Source organism: Homo sapiens, chromosome 1 (genome assembly GCF_000001405.40).
Source record: "Homo sapiens chromosome 1, GRCh38.p14 Primary Assembly".
Taxonomy (NCBI): Eukaryota; Metazoa; Chordata; class Mammalia; order Primates; family Hominidae; genus Homo; species Homo sapiens.
The window spans coordinates 19,320,202-19,348,082 of NC_000001.11; the positions used below are offsets into that span (position 1 = coordinate 19,320,202).

Below are 27,881 nucleotides of genomic sequence, written 5' to 3' on the forward strand. Positions count from 1 at the left end.
TCAGGTATGAGTTTTTGTGGGGAAATATGTTTTTATTTCTCTTGAGTATATACCTAGGAGTAGAATTTCTGGGTCCTATGTTAACTCTAAGTTTAGCCTTTTGAGGATTTGTCAGACTGTTTTTCAAAGCAGCTGCATCATTTTACTTTCCCACCAAAAGCATATGAAGGCTCCAGTTTCTCCAAATCCTCCTCAACACTGGTGGCCTGTCTTTTTTTTTTTTTTTTTTTTTTTGACAGTCTCGCTCTGTCGCCCAGGCTGGAGAGCGGTGGTGCGATCTCGGCTCACTGCAAGCTCTGCCTTCCGGGTTCACGCCATTCTCCTGCCTCAGCCTCCCGAGTAGCTGGGACTACAGGCACCTGCCACCACGCCTGGCTAATTTTTTGTATTTTTTTAGTAGAGACGGGGTTTCACCGTGTTAGCCAGGATGGTCTCGATTTCCTGACCTTGTGATCCGCCCGCCTTGGCCTCCCAAAGTGCTGGGATTACAGGCGTGAGCCACCGCACCTGGCCTCACTTCTTTTTTTTTGAGACGTAGTCTTGCTCTGTTGCCCAGGCTGGAGTGCAGCAGTGCAATCTTGGCTCACTGTAACCTCTGCCTCCCGGGTTCAAGCGATTCTCCTGCCTCAGCCTCCTGAGGAGCTGGGACTACAGGCGCCTCCCACCACACTCAGCTAATTTTTGTATTTTTAGTAGAGACAGGGTTACACCATGTTGGCCAGGCTGGTCTCAAACTCCTGATCTCAGGTGATCTGCCTGCCTCAGCCTCCCAAAGTGCTGAGATTACAACTGTGAACCACCCTGCTCGGCCGTCTTTTCACTTTCTTGATGGTGTCCTTTGAAGCATAAAAATTTTAAATTTTGATGATGTCCAGTTTATTTTTTCTCTTTTGTTTCTTGTGGTTTTGGTGTCATATCTAAGAAACCACTGCCAAATGCAGATAACAAAGATTTATCCTTATCTCTTCTTTTTTTTTTTTTTTTTTTTTTGAGACACGGTCATACTCTGTCCCCCAGGCTGGAGTGCAGTAGTGTGATCACATAGCTCATTGCAACCTTGACCTTCTGCGCTCAAGCAGTCCTCCCACCTCAGCCTCTTGAGTAACTGGGACCACAGACGTGCACCACTAAACCTTGCTAATTGAAATTTTTTTTTTTGGTAGAGACAAGGTCTCACTGTATTGTCCAGGCTGGTCTCAAACTCCTAGATTTAAGCAATCCTCCTGTCTCAGCCTCCAAAGTGTTGGGGTTCAAGCATGAGCCATTGTGCCCAGCATCTCTTGTTCTAAGTGTTACAAAGATGTAACTCTTACATTTAGGTGTTTGATCCATTTTGTAAATGATGTGAAGTAGGAGTCCAACCTCATTTTTTTTTTTTTTCTTGAGACACAGTCTTGCTCTGTTGTTCAGGCTGGAGTGCAGTGGTGCGATCTCAGCTCACTGCAACATCCTCCTCTTGGGCTGAAGTGATTCTCCTACCTCAGCCTCCTGAGTAGCTGGGATTACAAGCATGTGCCACCATGCCTGGCAAATTTTTGCATTTTTAGTAAAGATGGGGTTTCACCATGTTGGCTAGGCTGGTCTCGAACTCGTGACCTCAGGTGGTCTACCTGCCTCAGCCTCCAAAAGTGCTGGGATTACAGGCATGAGCCACCACACATGTGGATATCCACTTGTCCCAGCGCCAGGTGTTGGAAAGACTGTCCTTCCCCATTGATTTCTCTGGGCACCCTATCAGAGGCTTGATGTTTTTACTGAGTTACCTTGTTCCAGGTGCCTGTTGGGTGTGGTGCAAGTAAGCTAAACAGACACTGTCCTTGCCTTTGGAGAGCTTCCATTCTGGTACCCTTGAAAAGATAATCTGGGAGTGACGGGGAGGAAGGAGCAGAGTGACAGAGAGAGAGTGGAGGCAGGGAGGCCACCTTGGAGGCTGTGGAAGCCTTCAGCAAGCATCAGTGGTGGGGGGATTGGAGAGGCCCTCACCAGACAGACTGGACGGGTGTAGGTGACTGATGGGGCCGGGGGCGGGAGGCTCCCTGTCCAGGGGTGAGAGCTTCCTCAGGACTATCCGAGTTGCTGGCTGAGGATCCCCCTTTCTGCCTGGGCTGGTTGATTAACCAGGGAGGGGATTGGAGGCCTGGGAGAGAGCCCTAAGTGATGGAGAGAGGGTGGCTGCCCCCCTGGTCTTCCCTAGGACTCAGTCTCTCCTGAGTGGGACAGAATCACTTTCCTGCAATTGATGAAGACAAGTCGAGTCATAGCATCTTAGGAGGAGCTTTACTGTAAGGGATAAACCTTGATTAAGGGCCTTCTCAGTGCTGGGCCTATGCTAGTCACTCCCCCTGTCCTCAGGAAACTTGAGGGAATCTGGGAGGGACGGGGATGTCAAGTGTTTCAAAGGAGGAAGGAGAAGATGCCAGCGGAGCTCGTGTCGGGGAGGCCCAGAGGAGGAACCGACATTTCCTGAGACGGGAAAGATGACTCCGAGGTCTCTGGGCCTGAGGAGGGGTGAGCGGGACATCTGAGACCAGAGCTGGGAGGAAGAGAGCCATCCTGGGGCGGCGAGCCTGGGGCCTTGCAAGGATCCCCTCACAGAATGGGGGCCTTTATCCAAGAGCACTGGAAGGCTCTGGCAGTTTTTGGTGACACTGGGGTTTTAGTTTTTTATTTGTTATTAAAGACAATTTTTTTTTTTTTTGAGACAAGGTCTCACTGTGTCATCCAGTCTGAAGTGCAGTGGTGCATTCATAACTCACTGCAGCCTCAACCTCTTGGGCTCAAGTGATCCTCCCACCTCAGCCTCTTGAGTAGCTGGGACCACAGGTCCCCACTCCACACTTGGCTAATTTTTTTTTTTGGTAGAGACAGGGTCTTGCTGTGTTGCCCAGGCTGGTCTTGAACTTGTAGGCTCAAGTGATTCTCTTGCCTCAGCCTCCTGAAGTGCTGGGATTACAGGTGTGAGCTACCACACCCAGCCTCCAAAGTGTTGGGATTATAGGCATAAGCCACTGCTTCTGGCTGAGATGGGGGTTTTAGAAAGATTTCTGAAAGGGAGGATGAAAGATTTCTGAAAGGAGGGAGGCTTGTTAGGAGGCTGAGGGAGGCAGGTGGAAGGACTCGCTGTGGGAAGAATGCCGGTTTCTTAGTTTCTGGCTTGGATAATGGATGGGATGAGCTGCCATTTAGTTAGTTAGTTTCTTTGTTTCTTTTTATTTTCTTTTTTGAGACAGGGTCTTGCTCTGTTGCCCAGGCTGGAGTGCAGTGGTGTGATCTCGGCTTACTGCAACCTCCACCTCCTGGCTTCAAGCAATTCTCATCCCTCAGCCTCCTGAACAGCTGGGATTACAGGCGTGCGCCACCATGCCTGGCTGATTTTTGTATTTTTGGTAGAGATGGGGTTTCACCATGTTGGCCAGGCTGGTCTCGAACTTCTGGCCTCAAGTGATCCACCCTCCTCAACCTCCCAAAGTGTTGGGATTGCAGGTGTGAGCCAACCGTGTCTGGCCACCATTTAGTTTCTTTCTGTCTGTCTGTTTTCCTTCATGCATGCAGGTGGTTAAAGAGAAACTGGAACAGTAAATGGCAGTATGTATAATGGTTAAGAGCAAGACCGGAGGCTCAGGTAGGGGTTGAATCCGAGTGGTATGGCACGGCTTCCTCCAGGCCCAGTGAGGAGGTCATCGTGGTAGACTGGACAGCACAGGTGTCTTGAGGACAGAATGAGTCAACACACATGCAGAGGGCTCAGAACTGCCCTGGGCCTTAGTGCCACCGCCAGCTTTGGCCTCGTACCCACACCTGGCCAGAAGTCCTAAGAGGGTCCCAGCACCAAGGACCTTTGGGAAAACAACCAGGGGACCAAAAGCCTACTACCTTGATAGTGGAGCTCCAGGCGCCTCAGCCCCGCCCTTCTCTGTTGCCCTCTAAAGAGAACTGGGCTGGGGTTCTGCCTGTCTTGGCTACAGCTGCTCCTGGAGACCCGGCGTGCCCAGGCCTTCGGCCCGCACGTCCCTTTCCCAGCACTGTTCTTGTTGCAATGCCCTTCCCTGCATCCACAGGAGAAAGGATCCAGGGTTCTATGCAGCGGTTGTCAGGGCCCAACACAAAACTTCAGGACCCTACATAAGCCCCAGATCCCCACTGGAGACCCCAGGGTGTGGTAGAGGAGAATCTGAGTAAGGCTGCGGCTTTCCCTGGAGAGATGCACAGCCGTAGAGTCCTCGGCTTAGAAGGGATTCCCCAGGGGACTCCTCCAAAGGGCCGAGAAGGCTTCTGAGGATCCCGCCCGTGGGGAGGATGGGCCGCCAGGCCACTTCCTCTCCATCGCCGCCTCGATCCCCATGGTCGTCTCCTCTGGGCGGTGTCCCCTATAAGGCGGCATCCCCTGTAAGGTGGCCTGAGCATGCATCCCTTCCTCTTCCTCTTCCACAGCCAGTTCATCAAAGCCTACAAGACGGGCAACATGGACCAGGCGCTGTCCCTGTGGTTCCTCCTGGGCTGGATTGGCGGAGACTCCTGCAACCTCATCGGCTCCTTCCTTGCTGACCAGCTGCCCCTGCAGGTGGGCCGGTACCCGGGCAAGGTGGCGCTACCCCTAACCCTGCTTCACCCTGCAGGGTTGCCTGAGGAGATGCCAGGCTCTTTGGCCCGCCTGGTCTCCAGAACCCTGACCCGTCATTCCATCTTGTGGGAGGGCCCCATCCTTCTGTCTGCCGAACTGTGACTGTGGGCAGGTCACTGCTCTTCTCTGGGCCTCAGTTTCCCCATCTGCAATATGAGCATGTCTAACAGGAAGGTTTCGGGGTCTTCCACCTCCAGGGTGCTGGAGTGCTGGCGAAGCTTTCAGAGGGTGGGCCCCTCGAGGAGAAAGGGAGTTTTTCCGTGGGAGGCCCAGATGCCATCCTGCTCCTGTGGGCAGGCAGAGCTGGGGCTCCCAATCAGGAAGGCATTGTCTTCCCATGTGGGACCAGAAAGTTCTGACTGCCCTGGTGTCAGGCCAAACCAGAGCCATCACTTCACCGCGGAGTCCCACTTTGTCCTGACTGCTAGCGCTGACCACCAGCTCATTGGCCCCTCCTGGGCTAGATCCTTTCCTGGGTCTTTCGCCCACCTGTTCTGTCATTCTGCCAGGTGGGAACTGGGAGTTCTTCCTTGCCAGATAAGGAAACAGAAGCTCAGAGAGGAGAAGTGACTTGGTCCGGGTCACCCAGCTGGGATATGACAGAGGGCTGCCGGGGCGTGGTCTCAGATCCTGGGACTGCGCCAACCCCTGGGCCCCCTGCATCTCTTACAGACCTACACGGCTGTGTATTATGTCTTGGCAGACCTGGTGATGCTGACGCTGTACTTTTACTACAAGTTCAGGACGCGCCCCTCTCTGTGTGAGTATGGGGACCGCTCTCTGTCAGATGCTCTACCAGCAGCAGGGGGCAGTTGTGGGGGGGGGCGCCTGGAGTGTGGGAGGAAGCGGGTTTCCCATGGCTGGGTGATAACCCAAACCTCGGAAAGCCTTCCCCGGGCCTTATCTAAGAGCCTGAGCCTTAACTGGCCAAGATAGAGGCTTGAGGGCAGTGAGCGCGTCCTGGCCCAGACCACAGGCCGGTTCCTCTCGCCCAGGGGCTCATTCAGCAGACACAGCTCCAGCTCCTCCTCTGTGTCCGGCCCTGGGCTTGGAGCTGGGGAAACGAGGGCAAGTCACACAGGCTGCCTCTGCCCCAGCCTTCAGGAGGAGCAGGAGACAAGGTCAGCTTGAGGCTATACAGACACGGGGAGGGACCTGGGGAGGAAGTTGTCTCATCAGCGTTCCTGCTTCGTGTAACCCCCTCCTGACCTCCCTGCCCTCAGCGTTTCACCTTTATAACTCTAGGAGAAGGGTACTGTTGTTGTACCCATTCGACAGATGAAGAATGAAAGCTCAGAGAGGTTAGGTCACTTGCCCAAGGTCACACAGCCCCTGAGGGGCAAGGCCAGGACTTAGCACCCTCCCCCGACAACCGCTGCCACTCAGCCATCTAACCTCAGCTTCCCCCTGCCTTGTGTGCAGTGTCTGCCCCCATCAACTCCGTGCTGTTGTTCCTCATGGGGATGGCGTGCGCCACACCGCTGCTGAGTGCTGCTGGGCCCGTGGCTGCCCCTAGGGAAGCCTTCCGGGGGCGGGCGCTCCTGTCCGTGGAGTCGGGCAGCAAGGTGAGGCGTGGGCGTGGCGGTCGAAGGGATGGAGGCTGGCTCATCCCCAGGGCTCTCCCCTGCACAGCCTCATGGGTGCTAAATGGGGTGGGGGATCACCTCTGGCTCCTACGAGACACCAAGTGCCCCCTTCTGCCCCACAGCCCTTCACCCGGCAGGAAGTCATTGGCTTCGTCATCGGCTCCATCTCCAGCGTGTTGTACCTGCTTTCCCGGCTGCCTCAGATCCGCACCAACGTGAGCCTCCAGCAGGGGCTGGGTGGGGCCGAGTAGAGGAGAGCTGGCCTGGCCACCCGGGCCCTCTGGGCTAAGGAGTAGCACAGCATAGGAGCCTTGGTTCAGAAAGTCTGGTCTACTCCCGCTGTTGGCTTGGGCAAGTTAATCCAATCTCCGAGCCTCCATTTCTGCTTCTGGAAAATGGGCGTGGCGTGGCCTGCCAGCCAGGCTACAAGAGGCCCATGTGTGTCTTGGGGGAGTGGGAGGTCAGGGGAAGGTGAGGGGCTGAGCTTGGAGGCCTGAGGGGAGAGGAGAAGCTGGGGAGTCGGGGAGGGGAGGCTTGCTGGGCAGCTAGAGCCTGTGTGGGGTGGAATGCAGGGTGGTGTGGGGCCACAGGCCTGGCACAGCCACGGTCTCCCGTGGACCTGGGCAGGGGCCTGGGGGGGCTTGTCTGTGGGTGGGAGGAGGCTCTTCTGTGTGTCGGGCCCATATCCCTGGGCACCCAGGGAAAGATTGGCTCAGAGCAGGTGCACTGTGGTGGGGCAGGTGGACATGTGGACAGTTACAATCCAGAGTGACAAGAGGCCTGTTCGAGGTCTCTGACCTGACCTCCTCCTGCCCCAGTTCCTCCGGAAGTCCACCCAGGGGATCTCCTACTCTCTGTTCGCGCTGGTGATGCTGGGGAACACGCTGTATGGGCTGAGCGTGCTGCTCAAAAACCCCGAGGAGGGCCAGAGCGAGGGCAGCTACCTGCTGCACCACCTGCCCTGGCTTGTGGGCAGCCTGGGCGTGCTGCTGCTCGACACCATCGTATCCTTCAGGGCGTGTGGGGCAGGTGGCGGGGTGTGGGCAAGGAAGCTTCTGCCTGCACACAGCGTCAGCACTCATCCGTCTCTTCCTCCCTTCATCCATCCGTCCATCCATCCATCCCTCCCTCCCTCCCTCCCTCCCTCCATCTGTTCACCCAGTCGTGCACACCTCCTGTGTGCCAGGCACCCAGCTGGACCCTGGAGCCGTGAGTGAGCAAGAACAGCCATGAGTGCCCCAGAAGCTTACAGCCCAGCGGGGCGCAGAGAGGACACAACGCTATCATCAAAGAATTACTTCATTGCAGTGGCACCAAGTGCTGCAGAGAAAAACAACAAGAGCGTCTAGCCAGGGACCGTCCTGGTTAGAGGGGCAGCAAAGGCCCCTATAAGTCTCATTGAACCTGTGACTTGACAGAGTAGGAGAAGTCAGGCGAAGGCAGGAGAGGAATGTTCTAGGCTGTGCAGACGAGAGCTGGAGTGTGGAGAGACACATGACTTGGTCAGACAAACCTGGGTTCAAATCCTGGCTCCTCCCCTGCTTCCTAGCTGTGTGACGCAGGGCACACAGTCAACCTCTCTGTGCTGCCGTGTCTTCACCTCAGTTAACAGCCACTGTCTCGTCAGGATGTTGTGTAAGATGAGGTATCTGGAAACACTCCCCACAGGACCCCGTTTTCAGTGAGGGCTCAGAAAGTGTTTGCTGAATGGCTGTAAAGAGCGTTACCTGGGTCTCATTTCGGAGCAAGTAAACATGGCCTTTGTTTTAATATTTGTTAAGTCCCTGCCGGGCGCAGGGAGGGGTGAAAGTTTAGGCTCTTGTGCCCCAAAACGGCCCAGCCACCTGGAAGCCTCCAGGACGCCACAGCTGAGAGCAAGCGAAGATCCTGGGCCAGGGTCAAGGGAGGCTGCCCACGGGAAGGAGAAGTCAGTGCTAGGCTTGGAGACAGATGGAGCTTGGCTAGGGCTTGAGGAGCCGGGCAGAAGTTCTGAGTGGAGGGCACAGCTAAGGTAGCGGCTGGGAGGTTATGGCTGGCCCTTCCCACCTGCAGCGTGGGGGTGGGAGGGAGGGGAGAGGGAGGCAGCTCCCAGGAGTCGAAGGCCCCCAGGGGCAGGTCCAACCCAGTCTCTGCTCAGCTTGGCCTTAACGGCGGCACCCCCAGATCTCCATCCAGTTCCTGGTGTACAGGCGCAGCACCGCCGCCTCGGAGCTTGAGCCCCTCCTCCCCAGCTGACCAGAACCAGGCTGAGCGCAGGAGGACAGGCACCACCGGATGCCACACCAGGCAGGAGGAGGTGTGGACAGTGATGGTACGGCGGCCCTGCATCAGCCTGCGGGTGGCCTCTGGATCCTCCGTGGACCGAACCGTCCCCCCAGGAACACACCTTCAGGTAGACCCCGAAGCCTCAAGGCCGGGGCTGGAGCGGAGACCCCAGGGCCTCTCAGGAGACAGTGAGGCTGCCCCTCCTACCACCTACCTCATTCTGCCTACTCACCCCAGGGGCCACAGCCACAGCCTGCTGGACTCAGGACTGTCCTGTCAACTCCAGACAACTGAATAAACAGGCCGGGTACAGTGGCTCGCACCTGTAATCCTAGCACTTTGGGAGGCCGAAGCGGGTGGACCACTTGACGTCCGTAGTTCGAGACCAGCCTGGCCAACATGGTGAAACCCCATCTCTACTAAAAATACAAAAATTAGCCAGGTGTGGTGGCACACATCTGTAGTCCCAGCTACTTGGGAGGCTGAGGCAGGAGAACTGTTTGAACCTGGGAGACAGAGGTTGCGGTGAACCGAGATCGTGCCACTGTACTCCAGCCTGGGTGACAGAGTGAGACTCCGTCTCAAAAAAATAAAAAAGATAACCGAGGAAACGGTACCTCCCCATGAGACCTGCTTCTGTTGCTCCTTCCCCAAGGTGCTGAGGGATCGGGGCTGCTTTGGGGACCAGCGGTGGATGTGGATGGGGATTCAGGACGAGCTGAGCAGAGGGGACCGCATCTGCCTGCAGCCCTGGCCCAGCCTCCTGGGGCCTCTGGTTTCTTTAGCCTGCTTCTCCGGGCCCTTTCCTGACAGGCCCCACACCTTACTGTGGGGACATAGCAGGGAGAGTGACTCCCCACGGGGAGCCTGCCCCTCGGTGTTCAGGAAGAAGCAGAATGGTTAAGGTTCTGTTGGATCTGGGTTCTCCATCGCAGTTCCTCAGTGCCTAGCTTATCTCATCTGTGAAATGGACAGTACTGTCATTTCCTGTGTCCTTTCAAGGATTACATAAGATGCTGACATTATGGAGTTTAGCCCCAGATCTGGCGCATAGTAAGGGCTCAATAAAGGTTAGTTTTGAGGACTTTTAGTTGGAGAAGAGGAGCAACCAGATCTTGGAGATCAGGGAGAGCCTCCTGGAGGAGGTGATAGGTCAGAAGGATGAGCGGGAGATATCACAGGGAAAGAGGGAGGATTGAAGGCAGGAGGAAGAAGTGGCGGGTACAGGAGCAAGGTGGGAGAGTGGAGAGGAGGGCAGAGCTGAGCTCCGAGTGCTTCCTGGACCCGCAAACTCAGTGTTGTCCAGACCCTGTTTTATTTTTAAAATTTTTTAGCCCAGGCCGGAGTACAGTGGTGCGATCATAGCTCACTGCAGCCTCGAACTCCTAGCTTCCAGGGATCCTCCCACTCAGCCTCCCGAGGAGCTGGGACTACAGATGAGCACCACCATGCCTGGCTCCAGACCCTGTTCTGATTCCACTTTCCTGGGGGTCATGACCCTCAGGTGCCTGGAGCACAGAGACGCCAGCTCCCCACCTTGTTGGCCTGATCTCACCCCACACACCCAACCCTAGCTGTGGAAAACCAGAACCAGGGACTTGGGGTATCTGGTGGGGTAGTCTTGGGGAGAGACGCTGCGTCCCAGAGTGGGCCTTGCCTTTAGGATCTCCCTTCCCAGCCCCGGAGAAGGGAAACGGTGCCATGGCCATTCTGGTGCCGCAGATCCTTTGTGAGCACAGCCCTCCACTCAGCCTTTGCTGTGTCAGACACCGGGGCTGTGGTGAACCAGCTCCAAGGCCCTGCCTTCCAGGAGAGGAGATGGTTACCATGACCAGAAGGTAGAAATGTCAGGAAATGAGCAGATGAGACCAGCCCCAGGAGGGTCAATCAGGGAGGACTTCTCAGAGGAGTGGCCTTTGAGCTGGATCTTGAAGGCAGAGGGGAGGGCAGTTCAGGAAAAGGGAGGGGCAGGTACAGAGGCCTGGAGGTGGGTGTCTCGGGTGCTTCCAAGGTGGGGCTGCTTACAAGGAGCCTTGAAAGCCACACCAATGCCAAGGACAAGGTCCTGGGGCACACCCAGCAGCAGCCCAGCAGCAGGTGATGGGGTTTGGTCGGGTGAAGAGCCTTTTGCTAGAGAGAGGAGGCAAGGCACACCTCTGAGACCCAGGTGGGCAGAGAGGGCCAGTCTCCCCTGCCCTGTCCCCCTAGGGGACACCCACGGAGCCCAGGATGCCATCTGGCATGCAGCTGTTAGTTGCACACTTGCCATGTGCGGGCTGCGCCGCCTGCCATCAGTGCACGAGATCTCCCCGTCTTCACAGCCAGCTCTGAGATGGGGGAGTTTTTATTTTTTTTTGACACAGAGTCTTGCTCTGCCGCCCAAGCTGGAGTGCAATGGTGCGATCTCAGCTCACTGCAACCTCCGCCTCCCGGGTTCGAGCGATTCTCCTGCCTCAACCTCCCAAGTAGCTGGGATTACAGGCGCCTGCCGCCACGCTCAGCTAATTTTTGTATTTTTAGTAGAGACGGGGTTTCACCATGTTGGCCAGGCTGGTCTCGAACTCCTTACCTCAGGTGATCTGCTTGCCTCAGCCTCTCAAAGTGCTGGGATTACAGGTGTGCCACCGCGCCCGGCCAAGATGGGAGTATTTTTATGGCCATTTTACAGATGGGAGAACAGTCTCAGCACAATTGAGCAGCTTGCCCAGCTAGGAGCAGCAGCAACACGAGACCCTCCAGCTTTGGGAGCCACCCCACACCTGGCCAACGCTGGCGGCCCGTGTCCCCTTCCTCCATCCTTGCTGGGGGCCCATGGCTTGTGGCAGTTCAGCTTCACCCTCAGGAGTGGCCCGAACCCTGCTGGACCCAGGCTCCCTTCTCACCATCCTGAATAGCGACTTTGCTGAGCCTCTGGCCCTGCCGAGATTTCAGGATAAGTTACCCCCAGGCCCGAAGCCCCAGCTTGCCCTGGCCTGTGCCTGCCTCAGGTGCCAGCTAGATGTCTCGCTCCACCTGGGTCTGGGACCTGGCTCCACACCAGTTACCTGGGACCAGTAGGTGCCCTTCCAGCCTGAAGATCTGGGGGCACAGTATAGCCACATGAGCCCCAAGTGTGGTCCTGAACTGGGGCCGGGTGGGGAAGAGTGAGATGGGATAACATAGCCCCTGCTTGGAGGCCCTTCTCTGATGGGGTGACATAATCCCTTCCTCCTGGGAAACACCAGCTTTTGGGGTGATAGCACTTTCAGGCAGGAGCTATGGTTCCTTCCTCAGGAGGCCTCCAATCTGATGGGGAAGACATGGCCCCTCCCCCTGGGGAGTGCCCTGTGTGATGGAGGCGATACAGCCCCTACCTTCAGAGAGCACCTGGCCTGCAGCTCATCCAAACCTGAGTCTCCTCTCCCTTGGAGGCCTCATTCCAGCGCCCCAAGGAGGATTCAAACTGTTGGGGCTGGAAGAACTTGGTGGCCTGGGTCCCTGGAGCCCTGTTGAAGGAGCTGGTGACATTCTGATGCTGGAGGCAGGTGACGGGGAGCACAGACTTTGTGTCCTGCACACTGAGCTCCAAGTGTGCCCCAGCCACTGAGCCTTGTGACTTGAGCAGATGTCCGAAGCCGTTTCTTCATCCCATGAGACCAACAACACTGTCTGCCTCAGAACATAGCCGTGATCAAGATGAGCACGGAGGCTCGTGTCCCAGCACCTGGCACACAGTAAGTGCCTGGTAAATAAACAATGGCTATATTTGCTTGTCATCAGGGGGCTTACCAATGCCTGGAACCTCCCCCAGGTTCCTCACAAAGAGAAGGGCCAAGGCCGGGTGCAGTGGTTCACGCCTGTATTCCCAGCATTTTGGGAGGCTGAGGCAGGAGGATCACTTGAGCCAAGGAGTTCAAGACCAACTTGGGCAACATAGCAAGACCCCATCTCTACAAAAATTTAAAAAATTACAATAAAGGCGAATCTCATCGATGGGATTCTGCCATACTGATGGGGCCGTGTTTGCTGATGGTGGGCAAACATGTTACCAAGTTAAACGCCTCCACAGGTGGCTTCCCTTTCTCCCTGGCTTACACCTCCTGCTCCTTCCTGCAGGTCATGGGATGGCAGGATGCTTGTCTCCAGGTGTGGCCTGAAGGGAAAAGTGTGGACAGTTTGGTGTGATCAAGGAAATGGAACCACGCTTACCAGTTGCCCTTGTCCAGGAAGGGCTGGCTCCCTTAGGACGCCCACATGGAGCATGAGGTTGGGCCAGGCACCCCCAGAGGTCCCCGCCTTGGCAGGTTCTGTTTTACCTGTTGAACGAGACACTGTATGGGGAAGTGACATGCGCAGTGCCTGGCCCAGTGCTGTGCACACACGCTGCTTCGCTTCCTCAGGTTCCGGGGATGGGATGGGACAGAAAAGCTGGTTGCTTAGCTGGTGGCGTTCTCCAGCAAAGCAGAAGGGATGGTCCTGGCAGCCCTGTGCCGAGCACTGGACCCCGCGCCCTCCCTGGCTCTCTCAGCCCCAAGGTCCCATTAGTTATCAAACCTGGTTTTTTGTTTTTGTTTTGAGACAGAGTCACTCCGTCACCCAGGCTGGAGTGCAGTGGTACGATCTTGGCTTACTGCAGCCTCCACCTCCTGGGCTCAAGTGATCCTCCCACTTGAGTGCCACCACGCCCAGCTAGTTTTTGTATTTTTGGTAGAGATGGGGTTTCGCCATGTTGCCCAGCAGGCTGTTCTCAAACTCCTAAGCTCAAGTGATCCTCCCACCTCAGCCTCCCAAATTTGCTGGGATTCCAGGGTTTTGAAGCCACAGCCAAGACGACATGGCCTTCCATTCCTGAAGCCGAGGAAGGGGAGAAAGCCACAACCTTCACCACTCTCCACCCTTTCTGTCTGTGTGACTTGGCTTTCATCGGAGCTGAATGACGGGACCCCAGAGGTGCCGGGTGACAGCCAGGTGCAGAGCCTCAACTACCCCAGATGGTAAAGCTTTAAACTGATCCACTGGCCAGGTGAGGCGACTCATGCCTGGAATCCCAACACTTTGGGAGGCTGAGGCAGGTGGATTGCGTAAGCTGAGTTCAAGACCAGCCTGGGCAACGTGGTGGTGTGCACCTGTAGACCTAGCTACCTGGGAGGTTAAGGTGGGAGGATTGCTTGGGCCCTGGAGGTCAAGGCTGCAGTGAGTCAAGACAGCACCACTGCACTCCAGCCTGGGTGACAGAGACCTTGTCTCAAACAAAACAAAACAAAACAAAACAAAACAAAACAAAACACAGGAAAACCTGGATCTGCTTAGCATTGGCCCTAGGGCAGGGAGTGGGTTACCTTCCACCGTGGATTAACTCAGTTCAACTGATAACTACTCCTCCAGGCCCCCAGCCTGGGACAGCCCTGGGGACACAGTCACCCAGTAGCAGCACTGTGCCCAGCACAGGTAAGCACTCAATAATGACGACGGTTACTAAGTACTCCACCCCCACCAAACAGTAGGCAGAGACTGTCTCTCCTGTTGGCCATCATAACCCCAGTACTCAGTAGGCGCTGAATGTTTGGTGAATGAGTAAGTGAAGGGAAAGCTGAGGCACCAACCCTCAGGGAGCCCTCAGTCTGGTGGATGTAACCAACAACCACAGAACTACAGAACTGTATACTTTAGATACATGAATTGTGTGGTATGTGAATTATATCTCAAAGCCATTTGAAAAAATACCAAATGTGCCATTAAGATTTGGATGGGAAGTTATGGGTAATGAGAATATAATGACATCTTGCAACATTATATTGAGAAAAATACAAATTGAAATGTTTTATCTTATATTTAACTTACATGATATTTAATTTACAGGATTTAACTTATAGTATTTGAAATGAGGCGTACTTTTTTTTTTCTTTTTTTGAGACAGCCGTGATGTGTTCCCCAGGCTAGAGTGCAGTGGCACAATCATGGCTCACTGCAACCTCCGCCTCCCGGGTTCAAGTGATTCTCGTGCCTCAGTCTCTCGAGTAGCTGGGATCACAGGATGCACCACCACACCTGGCCAATTTTTGTATTTTTAGTAGAGATGGGGTTTTGCTATGTTGCCCAGGCTGGTCTCGAACTCCTGGGCTCAAGTGATCCGCCTGCCTTGGCCTCCCAAAGTGCTGGGATTCCAGGCGTAAGCTACCGCACCTGGCCAAGAGAGAATGTCTTCATTGTCCCAGTGTGGGTCATGCACAGGGGAGGAGGGAGTGTCCTGAGTGTACTGTGCCCAGGTGGCATGGGGGCGGTTTGGCACCAGAAAAAGAGGAGCTGTCCCACCTAGCAAAATCCACAATGCCTGCATCACCCCACCTGCTGAGAGAGTGCCACACCCTCGGGTGCAACTAGCCCAGGGCCTGCCACAAAGCAGTTACCCAGAAAGTAATCTGAATGCAGGAGAAAATCTTGGGAGACTAGGAGTCTTGAACCTGGGGCCCCAGGAGAACCTCAGGAAAGGCTTCAGTCTGGGCGCAGTGGCTCACACCTGCAATCCCAGCACCTTGGGAGGCCAAGGCGGGAGGAGGGCTTGAGCTCGGGAGTTCAAGGCTGCAGTAAGACCACTGCACTCCAGCCTGAGCAACAGAGCGAGACCCTGTCTCAAAAGAAAAGGCCAGGCACGGTGGCTCACACCTATAGTCCCAGCACTTTGGGAGGCTGAGGCGGGCGGATCACGAGGTCAGAAGTTTGAGACCAGCCTGGCCAATATGGTGAAACACTGTCTCTACTAAAAATACAGAAATTAGTCAGGAGTGGTGGCGCATGCCTGTAGTCCTAGCTACTTGGGAGGCTGAGGCAGAAGAATCGCTTGAACCCGGAAGGCAGAGGTTGCAGTGAGCCGAGATTGCACCTCTGCACTCCAGCCTGGGCGACAGAGCAAGACTCTGCCTCAAACAAACAAACAACAACAACAACAAAAAACGGCTCTAGACAACAACAACAACAACAGACTCCGGAGGCTGATTTGTTAAGGCCAAGCAAGGGAGGAATGAAAGGGCTTCAGAGAGACAGGGACCCCCTGGATTACCCACTTAAGCCCTCAGCCCTGGAGAGACCCTCACCAAGGCTGCCTCCCCTTCTGTTAGTTGGCACCAAGGGGACCTCCAGGAAGCATCTAGTGAGCCCTTGGGGTGGGGGACATCTCTGCTGCTGCCAAACCCCAGGAGTCTGTAGCCTGCAGCCCATGAACCCCAGGGGCTCCCATACGCCTTCGTTCTCTTCTTAGGGATGCCCGAGGTGCCCTGCTGGACCCCAGAGCTTTCCTCACCAGGCAGCCAAGGAACGAGCAGGGAAAGGCATGGCTGGGAAGTGGGAGAGGGTCACCAAACACATCCTCGAGGCCCACTGTCCCCAATCTCACCAGCTGAGTTTAGCATTAAAACACTAGCAGTGAGGGCTGTGTGCGGTGGCTCACACCCGTAATTCCAGTACTTTGGGAGGCCAAGTTGGGGGAGGGATCGCTTGAATTCGGGAGTTCGAGACCAGTCTGGCCAACATGGCGAAACCCGGCCTCTACTAAAAATACAAAAATTAGCTGGGCGTGGCGGCGGGCACCTGTAGTCCCAGCTACTTGAGAGGCTGGGGCAGGAGAATCGCTTGAAGCTGGGAAGTGGAGGTTGCAGTGGGCCGAGATCACGCCACTGCAGTCCAGCCTGGGTGACAGAGCAAGACTCCATCATAAAACAAAACAACACAACACTAGCAATGAGGGCTGGGCGTGGTGGCTTACACCTGTAATCCTAGCACTTTGGGAGACTGAGGTGGGGGATCGCTTGAAGCCAGGAGTTTGAGACCAGCCTGGGCAACAGGGTGAGGGCCCGTCTCTACAAAAACAAAAAAACCCAACTGGTAGTGAGGGTCCCTGTGGAAGATTCTAGATAGCAGAGCAAGATCAGGCCTGTCATACATCGCAGTCACAATTTCTGGGTTTCAAGCATTATTTTTGGTCCCAGGATTGTACGGCTGATGAAAGTGACAGCTCAAGGAGCAACTGGTGGGTTTCCTGAAGGGAAATCCCCTGAGAGGAGAGCGGGCCTGAGCCTCCAGGGGTGACTCTCAGGTGAGTCAGAGTCCACTCCACCTCTGCAGTTCTGTGGAATTACCACTGGCGTGCACAGCAGCTCCCAGCCTAGCAGCCTCTGCTGCAGGACAGCAGGCCTCTGCTGTGGCGTTCCCGGTGTGCCTGTCTCACTGACTTCAGGGGTGGCTGTTTTTCCCTTGCGACCTCAGCTCCTCTCATGTGTCCAAGGAAAGGCATTTTCCATTTGTCCAGTTTCTTCTTGAAGTGACAACTGCCAAAGATTATTTGCTTGGCCAAACTTTAGTCAGGCTCCTGAACCTTCCCCTAGGCCCACCTGTGTGCCCTTGTAAAATCCAGTTTCAGCAATCCCTTGCTAAGTCAATTTTACAAAAACGGCCATCCTTGATATTTTTTTTCTTTTTTTGAGACAGGATCTCACTGTCTTCTAGGCTGGAGTACAGTGGTACGATCTCGGCTCACTGCAGCCTCAACCTCCCAGGCTCAAGTGATCCTCCCAACTCAGCCTCCCAAGTAGCTGGGACCACAGGTGCACACCACCACGCCTGGTTTGTATTTCTTGTAGAGATGGGGTCTATGTTAACCAGGCTAGTCTCAAAGCCCTGGGCTCAAGCCATCCTCCCAACTTGGTCTCCTAAAGTGCTGGGATCGTAGGCGTAAGCCACCACACCTGGCCTCATCCTCCACCCCCACCCCCAGGTGATGTCTGGTCACCCTGGCCTGTCTTCAGCAAGAATCCTGTTAGGTGTGTTTGGCCGGAAGACCCCTGACCCCTGAGGTTTCCTCTGAGTCATTTTCCACCCACTGCCCCCCTCTGCTCCTTGGCTCTAATCCCCACCTGCCCGTGCTGCTGCACTCAGAGTTGAGCCCAATCTCTCTCCCCATCCACAAGACCCCACTGCAGTGGCCCCTGTACCTACCTTGATGATCCTGGATAAAACTTTACCATGAAAGAAAATGAAAAGCAAAACATTTGTTTTTCCAGCCCCTTCTGTGTGCCAGGCACCTTGCCAACATGACCCCGGGAGGCTGCAGCACCCGTGTGCCCATGGGGAACAGCTCGCTGGGCCCTTCTGTGTGCCAGGCACCTTGCCAACATGACCCCGGGAGGCTGCAACACCCGTGTGCCCATGGGGAACGGCTCGCTGGGTGCATCCCCTCATGGCTCACGGCTGGAGTGTGCCTGCGTTCTCCACGTGGCACTAGGAACTCAGGGGGCAGGGGCTTCTCTGCTGTCTGTATGCCATGGCACTTGCACTCCATAAAGATACTGCATCGGCCGGGTGCGGTGGCTCACGCCTGTAATCCCAGCACATTGGGAGGCGGGAGGGTCACCTGAGATCGGGAGCTCGAGACCAGCCTGACCAACAAGGAGAAACCCCGTCTCTACTAAAAATACGTTAGCTGGGCATGGTGGCACATGCCTGTAATGCCAGCTACTGAGGAGGCTGAGGCAGGAGAATCGCTTGAACCTGGGAGGCGGAGGTTACAGTGAGCCAAGATCATGCCATTGCACTCCAGCCTGGGCAACAAGAGTGAAACTCCGTCTCAAAAAAAAAGATGTTGCATCAGACCCAGGGACCTCAAACACATGGGCTGGCCAGGTTGTGGAGCCCGCTGATTGGCCACGGACAGATGGGGGGATGGTCTCGGCAGGGACTTTGAGATCTGCTTCAGATCTTCCCTGGGGCAGTTTGGAGGGTAGAAGGCAGACTCTGTGGCTCTGTGCAGCCTTGGCTGAGTTACTGCAACTGAACCTCGGCTGCCTCACATTTGTACTAGGCACAGTGGGAAGGCGGCGGGAGGTGCGTGCTGCGGCGCCAGAACAGTGTTTGCTGGTGCTTCTGCCCTCCAACGGCAGAGGGCGGAAAGGGACAGGGACTCTGCACCTCATCACATACCTGGTGTTTTCAGGGCGGCGGGGCTGGGGACGGGACACTTCCTTGCTGCCGTGAGCGGGGCCCACACGCGTCCCAGCTTGGAGCCAGCGCACGGCCACGGCCACACGCGCTCGGAAAGCGAGGCCGGCGAGAAGGAACACAGAAGGCCAGCGCTAACTGCGCCCCAGTTTCTTTTTATTGATTTCTTTTCTTTTCTTTTTTTAAGTATGGAGGCTCAAGTATAAGATGTAGATTTTTTTCTTAAGCTTTACAAAAAAACAAAATAAAACAAAAACCTCCTTTTGCATTCCATAGAAATTGACAGAAAAGCACCTGGCCGGAAGAGCGGAACGGTCGGCGGCACCCCCCCCAGCCCCCACCCCGCGGCCTCCGTGGGACGGGAGAGTCTGCGCAGGACGGCACCGAGGGCCACCTCTGCTCCCAGAGCTGTCCCCTGTCCCCACGACCCCCAACCCCAAGCAACTCCCAAACACACACGGAATAAGATTTCCAGTTTTTCTTCTCTCTTTCACACACCACAGTTAGTTCATAAAATTTTTTTGTTTTACATTTTTTACACCAATGTACCAAAAAGGTGGGAGGGAAGGGAGGCTGGCAGACAGTGGATTTTATGCCTATAAATGGGGGGACAGGGAGGAAGACGGGGGGCCCGGGTGAACAAAAACCACACGGTCTCTATGGAAATGTGGAGAGAACTGAGAGCGAGGTGTGGCAGAAGCAGGCTCGGAGCCGGAGGAGGGTGGCTATCGGCTTTATTCTCAGGGAGAGATGGCGCTGTGCGGTCAATGATGCAGCTGTTATGTGACCTGTCGGGGAGGGAAGGGACGAGGGAAGGGAGCAGAAAACGAGTTTTCTAAGAAAGGAATCTAACGAGTGCACGGCGTGTCTGGTTAGCATGAAACAGAGGTTTAGCATTGCTGCTTTCTCTTCAAAGCCTCCACCAGGTCATTCTTCAGAGCTTCTTGTTTTGATTTGTCTGCAAAAGTCTGCACAGACCTGCAAGGGAGGAAAGGCGTTATCAGCAGATTGAACAGGGACTGGTGAGGCGGTGGAGGCCTGGGGGCCACCATGCCAGTGCCTGGCTGATTTGCTGCATGGACCCGCTTCCTGGGGTGAGGCTCTGGGTCACTGGGCTGGGCATCTGCCCCTCTCAGAAAGGGGCAAAGGGGTACATGGCCGAGACCTGCACCCTCTGCACCTTGCCAGGCCCTGTGGGGGTGGCATATGGCTTACATGGACAGGTGCTCATCTCTGCCCCTGGCCACCGGTGACCCGGCCATAGTCCCTAGAACCCTAAGTTCACTCCTCTGTGTGTAGGTCCCTATGTCACCCTAAGCCACAAGGTGGCTTCTGGGCTTCCAAACACAATGGAACAAAGCCCCTCTGCTTCAGAACAGCTACCCTGGGTTGCTGGCTGGGGACTCAGGCCAGGGGCTAAGAGGGGAGGACTCCGGGGCCATGCGGGTTCCTCTATAAAAGCTTCTCCCTTGCCCAGGCCCTGCCCAGCAGAAGAGCCTCATTCCTCATCCCACAAGTGCAAGGTGCAGCGTTATCCCACCCTTGGGAGTGGGTAAGAACCAGTGTCTCTGCGTGTCTGAGCACACTGTGTTTATGGCCCACGCAGCAGGTGCTTTCAGGCCTCTGCTGTGAGGCACCATCCGCTGTTAACTTGGCCCAGAAAACCCCTCAGCCCGGATTGCAAAGGGCGGCACAGGACAGCCAAGTGCCCCTGGGATCCCTGCTGTCAAATTCTGGATTTGTGGGGAAACGTTCAGGGCGACCGCATTCACGTATGTGTGGGGACGCTCATCAACAAAGCCAGAAACAATGAAGGCTTATGGAGATTTCACAGTTTACAAAACGCCTTTCACATATATTATCTCATTTAATTTTCACGGGCATCCTGGGGAAGTCTCAACTATCAACCCGGCCGGATGTGGTGGCTCAAGCCTGTAATCCCAGCACTTTGGGAGGCCAAGGCAGGAGGATCATTTAAGGCCAGGAGTTCAAGACCAGCCTGGGCAACATAGTGAGACCCCATCTCTACAACGACAACAACAAAAAGCGAAGTCAAGGCTTAAAAAAGAAAAAAGCTATCAACCCAATTTACAGATGAGGAAACTGAGGCTCAGAGGAATGCCCCCCTAGCAATTCTTTAATCATTTTGTCAAATTTACCCAACATATTGGTTAGGCAAAGACTTCCTAAATGTAGGTTTTATAACAGTTTAGAAGCAGTGGAAAGAGTGGGTAGAGGGCTGCTCAAGAAGAGTGCTACGGAGAGTGCACTCAGCCGGACTCTCACGTTTGATTCACACCAGCCATGGGAAGGAAGAATCAGAAAAATCAATCCCCAGAAGCAAAAATGGGCAAATGGAAGTGAAGCAGGGCCCAGGAGAAGCAACAGCACCCAGACTGAGTTCTGGCTACCGAATCCCTACAAGTCACAGGAAGAGCCCTCAAAATACTCAGCAGGTGCCATAAGACAAGACCTGGAAGCAAGCTGCATACAACTGAAAAAACTCCCAGGAGAAACGCAGACATTTGGTTCATGCTGGGGAAATACACGTTTCTGAGTATCTTCCCAGGACTGTCCCTGGCTCTGCGGCGGCCAAAGGCATCAGCCCCCACGGCCCCCAGGCTCCAAATCTCAGCCGATTCCCCAGGGGCTTCTTGCCAAGCTCACAGCGGGAGGTCAACATGGCCAGCGGGAGATGCGGCGGGCAAAGCAGCAGCGCACAGGACCTCTAGCCTGGGTGGTCACTGGCTCTTCTGGGAAGGAAGAGCCAAGCCCGCCAGGTCTTGGCTGGATCACACGAAGGAGAAAGTTCCAGAGCTAGAATCATGTTAGACACAGGAAGTTAGAAGTGAAATGGTGGAAGGCGGAAGGAGCAGGGGGCTTATTTAAGGGACAATGCTTGGGAAGGTCACGGCCAAGCAACCTCGAATCAGCGCTTGGAGACAGTGCTCGACTCTGTGGGAGGGAGGAGTCATCTTGAGCAGACCTGGCTGCCAGGGTTTCTACGCCAGGACGCCCCCAGTGGGCGGCCAGGGAACTGCACCATCACGGTGTATCTTAAAAAGAGTTTTTTCTCAATGCCATGATGGAAATGCCTGATGGCCACACTGTGAGGCTGACCCGAGTCGTGGGCCTTAAGTTGGCACACACAGACCAGACTGGTGCACTTAAGTCCCACGGCCTCGGAAAAGCAGCTCCACCTGGTTTTCTAAGTGCCTGACCCCACCTCCACCTTGGAAAGTCTGCTGCACCCCTTCTGGGGTGGGCCTTCAGTGCGCAGCCCCTGGACCTGGGCTCTGCAGCCCCAGTTGGCAGGGTTCCAAATGCCTTCTTTTTACAAACAAGTTTCCCTCCTACTCTCCAGGGATGCTGCCTCCTTCCCTACATCTGGATCTGTCACAAGCTCAAGTCATGGTTCTTGGCCATTACCAACAAGCAAGACTATTTTCCTTTCCATTAGCGAAACCTGTTTAAAGGAACAGCTGCAGCTCGTTAGGGGCGGAAGGTTATGCTGGTTGTGGCCGAGTCGGCACTGGGCGTCCAGGCAGCTCCAGCAGAGCATCTGGGCCAGCCAGGGTGGAGTCCAGCCCTGACTCTGCCCTCCAACCCCAGAGACTCAGAGATCAGAGAGTGAGGTCACCCCTTCCAAGCCAGCTAGCCCTGGACAGGCAATGTGCCGCTGAGCAGCGGGGAGGCTTATGTGGCTTCTGGGATCCCTGCACCAGCATCAGAGGCTCCTCTGAAGCATGGGGGGGTGGACGGCAGGCAGATCCCTGCCCTGGGGACAGTCAGGCCGGTGCACACAAGTGGCTGCTGCTGGAGAGGCAGCATCCGTCCCTTGGCCTGGGCTTCTTCAGAAGCAAAAGCCAAAAAATCAGCCGTCTTCCCCACACCCAGCCTCCACCCAGAGTGGAAAGCACACACACGTGATAGGTGCCGTGTTACATGGGGCCGAGGCTACACGGGAATGTGGCTGTGCACCGACCGGGAGCACACGTGGGGGTTAGTGGTGGTTTAAATGGCCGCGGAGCAGCAGCCGGACCGGCAGGGTCTCGGCGGGTTGGTGAGTCCTGTTTTAGTGGGGAGGGTCTCGCGGCTCTCAGGCAGGGTACCTGGATCGGCTTAATTATCAGGCTGGATGTAGATCTGGCGCTGGGTCAGCACTTGAGAGAGCTCCCTCTGCAACTGCTTAAACTTTTGGTTGTCAGGGATAGCATCAATAGATCTACAGAGAGTGTTCAAGATGAGTGGAGTGGGAGGGAAGAGAACGACGAGAAGCCAGGAACGCAGGGGGCCACAGCTGAGGAGGAAATTCAGGGAGACCCACGAGGCGGAAGGGGGGATGCCGTGGCGGCTCTGGGGTGTGGAGTGGTATCGCCGCTGCAGAGGTCCACGCTGGCGGTGGTCGTGGTATTCAGGGGCTCGCCACCACCACCCGCAGGCTCTTCGGCTTCTCTCCCCCACTTCCCAGCCACTGCCTGGGGACTGTGCAGGTTGGCTGGGCGGGAAAGTGTGTTTGGTGTATCGGGCAGTGGCTGCCAGTGGCAGGCCTAACGCCAGGGACCACTGGGCTCTAACCCTGTCACAGGTCACGAAGACCAAGCCTCCCCCAGGTGGGCAGGGGATCAGAAGACAAGGGTCCAAAGAGGACTCCTCCTCTGTTTTAAAACTGTAAAGCAGGTGACTGAAATCTGTCGCCCACCCCAGTCCACGAGCTGGGGCAGCCCCGGGACTGCAGCCTGCCTCTCCTCTGGGCTGGGCTGTGAGAGCTACACCACGGCAGTGGGTGAGAGGGCTGGCCGCTAAAGGCATAGCACAGCCCGACTCACACGGTGCTGCTGGACTGCAGAGCGTGTTCTAGATTCATCATCTCAGCCGACCGTGCCTCCTCGACTGGACAAGGGCCTCTGCGAGGAGTGCCAGAGGCCATGCAGCTCGGGATGACAGAGCTTAGGGGAGATCCCGGCCTCCTGACTCTCCTGACTCCAAGGCCAGTGCTCCCTCCACAGCCGTTTACTGCCCCCAGCTGGGCTCTGGCCTCATGTCAGAGGCCTGCCTCCTGCTCTGTCCGCCGTGGACCTGGAGGGTCCAGAGAGCGCCCGGCTTTTGTTTGGGCTGACACTGCAGAGCTGAGGGCACGAGGTGGGAAGGATGGTGCAGGACACTGGCCACTGGCAGCAGAGCCCTGGCAGAGGACGTCAGAGAGGCTGGGGCCCCCTGAGAACGCCCAGGCTGAGGGCCCTGCCTGCATGTGGCGTCAGGGAGGCTGGGGGCCTGAGAAGGCCCGGACTGAGGGCCCTGCCTGCACGTTGCGCTCTGCTGTCTCGGAGAGCAGGCCAGCCAGAGGCAGCCGGGCTGCCCGGAATGTGGTGTCATGGCTCCCCTAGGCCCAGGCTGGAGGGTGGGGAGATTTTTGAGCGGGGACTGACAAACTGCAGGGCTGAGGAGGCTCCGGGGGCAAGGGCACCAATGGCTGTTAGGGTGAACATGCCCCAGAAAACAAATGGTGCAGATAGGGACCGACAGCTGCTACGGAGAGTGCAGATGACACATCAGGACTTTACTTTCCAAAATCAACATAATGATCATCCCAGAAGAGGGGCACTGCAGCCTACCAATGAGGACACCGAGGCCCAAGACCACACAGCTAGTAACTGGCAGAGCCAGGGTTCAAATCCCTCTGTCTGCTTCTAAAGCTTGTGCTTTCTGGTACATTACCTCAGCCCATTGACGATATCCTTTGTTTTTCCAAAGTAGATCTCGTTCAGCGTACTTCTGATTTTATTTTCCATGTCCTGGAAGGGAGGTCGGTCAGCGCAGTGGCAAAAGGTCAGGAACCCTGAGGCCCACGCCCTCCCTCCACCTGCCAGCCCTGCAGTCCCCAGTGTGGCCACTGGAGGGTGGCACACGCCTGCTCTGGGGCATCAGTGAGCGCGCTCCAGGCTGCCAAGACCCCACCTGCCATCTGTGCTCCCGGCACCTTCCCATCCACAGTCCACAGGCAGGGAGGAAGCCAGTACCCAGGGATTGGCGGCCAGCTCTGCCCATGCCTGGGAGCTGCTCTAAACCACATCACCACCCCTTGGGCTCCCCACTAATTTTGTGAACAATTCTGTGAAACCCGAGAGCACCTCCCTGCCTTCCCAAACAACGTGGTGACAGGAGGGCCAAGGCAGCCGCAACTGAAGCCACACCAGGGCCCACTGGCATTCCTGGGATCTGCTTCCTCTCCCAGCGCAGGGCCCTGTTCACACCCAGGCGATCAGGGGAGACAAGACCTAGTGCGCCCCAGAGCCAGCGCCTGAGCAGTCTTCTGGGAGCCCAGGTCTGGGGGTGGAGCAGGAGGTGGCCCTGAAGCTGGAGCCTGCTGGCATCCAAATCAGAGGCTCCAAAAATATGAGGCCAGGGCAAAATCCAAGAAGCGCTCTGCCGGCTGCGGTGGAGCTGAGAGAAAGCAGCAGAGAAGGAGGCCAGCACAGCGGCTCCGGGGCTGCAGTGTCACTGCTGTGGGTCACTGCAGGAGCCAGCCAGAGCCCAGGTCACTCACCTCTACCAGGCGCCCGATGTTGGCTATGTGTGGGGAGCAGTCACTCACAGTTTCATCCTTCTCCATCTGCAAAAGACAGAAACATTCCAAGTCAGAGAAAGCCAGAGATTTCTGAGAACGGCAGACAGCCCACCCCACCTCCACGGTCTGCAAAGAGCCTACTGTTCCCACCGTGGAGCCAGCTGCAGGTATGACAAGGCCAGTTTTGCAGCCTGGGAACTGAAGCACAAACCGACTTCAGTTTCAGACCATAAAGAGCCCAGAGGGCAGAAGCCCAGAGTCCCACTTCCAAGGGAGAAGATTTTGCTGCTGCCCATGGTAGAGCAGGCAGATGCCCAGAGCCACAGCAGCAGCCCTTGGCAGGCACCAGCTCACCCGAGCCAACTGGAGAAGACTCACTCGGTTTGTCTTCAGGCCTCTACTGGCAGGCCCAGGCCCACGCTGGGCCATCCACCCCAGGTTCAGGGCCTGACACTGCAGGGGAAGCTTCTGTGCTGCTGCTGCGCCCTGGCGCTCCCAAATGGTGGCTTTGGGGTGCCATCTGCTGCAGTCTCGCAGGGAGGGACAGACAACCTCTGACGGAGACTTCAGGCCAGAGGGATTCAGTGGCTCACCCTAGTCATGCAGGTGGCAATGGCAGAGCCTGGGTCAAACCCTTCCTCGCACCAGGGCCTGTTCGTTCTACTCTGCGAGGAGAGTTTGAGCAAGAGAGTCTCAATATAGACTCTGAGGTTATGAGGGGGGCAGCAGCACTCAAGCCCCATCTCCTCTTCCCAAGCCCAGGAAGAGCTGGCTCTGACCCAATCATCTCAACTCGGAGGAGGGAGGAAATGGAGGCAGGTTAGGGTAGAAGGAATTCGGCACTTTCCCCCGAATTTTTTCTTATCTGAAGCCTTATTTCCCTGACAAGAATATAAATTCTTTCAGGAGAGATGTGCCTGCCTCATAACGCACAGGGTACCTGGAAGAGTGCTAGGAACATAAATGCTCAACGTTACTACACTGAAAACAGGAATACGCAGCTACGATGACTAATGTTGTTGAAATAAAATGTGGAAGCTGAAATAAATAATCAAGAAAGAGGAAGAAAAGAACAGCATCAGAAAGGGTAGAGTAGAAACCATGCAAGAAGTGGCCATCAAATTATAATACAAAAATGCAGTACTCTAAGGCTAAGCATTTATTGTTGAGATTCTAAATCTGCTTAGACATTATTTATAATTTTTGAAGCTTTATTAAAATAAAATAAAATTTGTGAGAGAAGCTAAAAAAAAAAAAAAAAAAAAAAAAAAGAAAGGGTAGAGTTCAAAATGAGACCAGGCCCACAGAAGAAAAACCAGCAAAAGGTGGGTTCCTCTCTTTGGAACCAGGAGAACAGGGTGGAGTCTGGGGGGAGATACTGTCTCAGAGGGTACGGGCTCTGTTGCTTCTCACCTATTTCTACATCTCCTCATCAGGGAGACTGACTTTCAGGCTGTGAAAGGTGGAACCAACCTGGTTAAGAGCGGGGTGAGCAGAGGGCAGGAGAGAACCAAGCCACTTTAAACGACCAGGCTTCCAGGGTCGGGCAAAACCGACCTGTGATTGAAATCCTTGACACTGGGGGCGGCAGCACTGACCCGACTTTTGTCTTTTTTTTTTTTTTTTTTTTTTTGAGACGGAGTTTCGCTCTTGTCGCCCAGGCTGGAGTGCAATGGTGCAATCTTGGCTCACTGCAACCTCTGCCTCCTGGGTTCAAGTGATTCTCCTGCCTCAGCCTCCCCAGTAGCTGGGATTACAGGTGCCCACCACCACGTCCGGCTTTTTTTTATTTTTATTTTTATTTTTTATTTTTAGTAGAGACAGGGTTTTGCCATGTTGGCCAGGCTGGTCTTGAACTTCTGACCTCAGGTGATCCACCTGCCTCAGCCTCCCGAAGTGCTGGGATTACAAGTATGAGCCACTGCACCTGGCCGACCCAACTTTTGTCAAAAAAGGAAGAATGGCCTCTGCAAGGAAACGCTAGCTCGAAACTGATCCAGACAACAATTTTTGATGGGATCGTTAAAATCATCTGCTGGCACATTTTAAACTCAGAGATCATGAGGAGCCAGCCAGGCTCACTGTGAACAAGCCCTGCACGAGAGCACTTCTTTTCCTGTTTTGGTGGGGATGCTGGGCTGGAAGAAAACACAACTACTTAAATAGGGTCGCATCCTTCTGGCAAGTTCCCATCTACCATCCTGCACCTGTGGCTGAGAGGAAGGGCAGGATGGAGCCTCTGCCGATAGGGGTAGGGACCTGGCCACATTTCCACAGCCCCCCACCCACTCCCCTCCACACCTGGTCAGGGTCAGCTCGCTGGCAACACCGACCCACCAAAAATAGAACCATTTGTGCACTGCATACACTATGTGGCACCCTGTAGCAGTCTCTGCCTGCCCTTGGTCAACTTGTTTGTCCAGGACTTAAGTAAAGGCCCAGCTGAGAGAACGACCAGCTTCCTATCGACAGTGTCAAGGGTTGAGATGGTCACAGGGTTAATACGGAACCCGGAAACCTGGGCTAGCTACAGAACGAGAGCAGCAACTTGGAATGGAGCCAGGCGGCAGCCACCTTTTTCCATCTCAGCTTCCTAGGAACCCTGTTTTAAACCCAAGGAAACCGAAGCTTAAAGAAGCAAGAATCATACAGCACTGTTAGATTCCGACGCCTTTGCTCCTCCTACTTCACCACGCCAGTTAAATGTACCAGGGCAAATGCAAGCCAGATATTTAGGCTCAAGGGTGCATTTCATGCAGTACAAAATGGGGAACTGCTGACTTGCAAACAGTTCCTATGAAGAGACTTGTGGTTTTTAGATAATTTCAAGTTTGACAAGGATGAGATGTCGCTACTAGGAAAGCTTTTGTGCAAC

The 27,881-nt window shown here is 55.3% G+C and overlaps 2 protein-coding genes across 23 annotated transcripts in view, besides 6 other annotated features; one reads left to right on the plus strand and one right to left on the minus strand.

The window, feature by feature from the left end:
- The window catches only part of SLC66A1 (solute carrier family 66 member 1), a 22,138-nt gene extending 7,876 nt beyond the window's left edge, over positions 1 to 14,262 (plus strand). For 4 of the 14 annotated variants that reach the window (NM_001040125.2, NM_017765.3, NM_001040126.2 and 1 more), the window contains 6 exons: positions 4,432 to 4,561; positions 5,294 to 5,381; positions 6,044 to 6,186; positions 6,330 to 6,422; positions 7,026 to 7,211; positions 8,371 to 9,099. In NM_001040125.2, the coding sequence (NP_001035214.1) occupies positions 4,432 to 4,561; positions 5,294 to 5,381; positions 6,044 to 6,186; positions 6,330 to 6,422; positions 7,026 to 7,211; positions 8,371 to 8,442 (712 nt within the window). In that variant the 3' untranslated portion in view covers positions 8,443 to 9,099. Of the gene's footprint in view, positions 1 to 4,431; positions 4,562 to 5,293; positions 5,382 to 6,043; positions 6,187 to 6,329; positions 6,423 to 7,025 lie in introns of those variants that run through there. The other 10 variants (XR_001737253.2, XR_007061311.1, XR_001737254.2 and 7 more) reach the window with 7 other exon arrangements.
- Positions 14,468 to 14,969: an enhancer, noted in NCBI's record as "H3K4me1 hESC enhancer chr1:19661163-19661664 (GRCh37/hg19 assembly coordinates)". NCBI's record gives its function as "activates a minimal SCP1, AML or CMV promoter by ChIP-STARR-seq in primed H9 embryonic stem cells {active_cell/tissue: H9 hESC(primed)}" and the evidence as "EXISTENCE:reporter gene assay evidence [ECO:0000049][PMID:30033119]".
- Positions 14,970 to 15,469: an enhancer, noted in NCBI's record as "H3K4me1 hESC enhancer chr1:19661665-19662164 (GRCh37/hg19 assembly coordinates)". NCBI's record gives its function as "activates a minimal SCP1, AML or CMV promoter by ChIP-STARR-seq in primed H9 embryonic stem cells {active_cell/tissue: H9 hESC(primed)}" and the evidence as "EXISTENCE:reporter gene assay evidence [ECO:0000049][PMID:30033119]".
- Positions 17,153 to 18,117: an enhancer, noted in NCBI's record as "NANOG-H3K27ac-H3K4me1 hESC enhancer chr1:19663848-19664812 (GRCh37/hg19 assembly coordinates)". NCBI's record gives its function as "activates a minimal SCP1, AML or CMV promoter by ChIP-STARR-seq in primed H9 embryonic stem cells {active_cell/tissue: H9 hESC(primed)}" and the evidence as "EXISTENCE:reporter gene assay evidence [ECO:0000049][PMID:30033119]".
- CAPZB (capping actin protein of muscle Z-line subunit beta) overlaps positions 18,574 to 27,881 on the minus strand; it is a 146,765-nt gene continuing 137,457 nt past the window's right edge. For 5 of the 9 annotated variants that reach the window (NM_001206540.3, XM_011542228.4, XM_006710938.5 and 2 more), the window contains exons 7-10: positions 24,986 to 25,051; positions 24,157 to 24,233; positions 22,551 to 22,663; positions 18,574 to 19,416 (exon numbers count right to left, since the gene is read on the minus strand). In NM_001206540.3, coding sequence (NP_001193469.1) covers positions 22,561 to 22,663; positions 24,157 to 24,233; positions 24,986 to 25,051 — 246 coding nt within the window. In that variant the 3' untranslated portion in view covers positions 18,574 to 19,416; positions 22,551 to 22,560. The remainder of the gene's footprint in view (positions 19,417 to 22,550; positions 22,664 to 24,156; positions 24,234 to 24,985; positions 25,052 to 27,881) is intronic. The other 4 variants (NM_004930.5, NM_001282162.2, XM_047431397.1 and 1 more) reach the window with 2 other exon arrangements.
- Positions 19,284 to 19,785: an enhancer, noted in NCBI's record as "H3K4me1 hESC enhancer chr1:19665979-19666480 (GRCh37/hg19 assembly coordinates)". NCBI's record gives its function as "activates a minimal SCP1, AML or CMV promoter by ChIP-STARR-seq in naive H9 embryonic stem cells {active_cell/tissue: H9 hESC(naive)}" and the evidence as "EXISTENCE:reporter gene assay evidence [ECO:0000049][PMID:30033119]".
- Positions 20,551 to 21,525: an enhancer, noted in NCBI's record as "H3K4me1 hESC enhancer chr1:19667246-19668220 (GRCh37/hg19 assembly coordinates)". NCBI's record gives its function as "activates a minimal SCP1, AML or CMV promoter by ChIP-STARR-seq in primed H9 embryonic stem cells {active_cell/tissue: H9 hESC(primed)}" and the evidence as "EXISTENCE:reporter gene assay evidence [ECO:0000049][PMID:30033119]".
- Positions 24,222 to 24,271: an enhancer, noted in NCBI's record as "active region_299". NCBI's record gives its function as "activates an Ori minimal core promoter by ATAC-STARR-seq in GM12878 lymphoblastoid cells {active_cell/tissue: GM12878}" and the evidence as "EXISTENCE:reporter gene assay evidence [ECO:0000049][PMID:35858748]".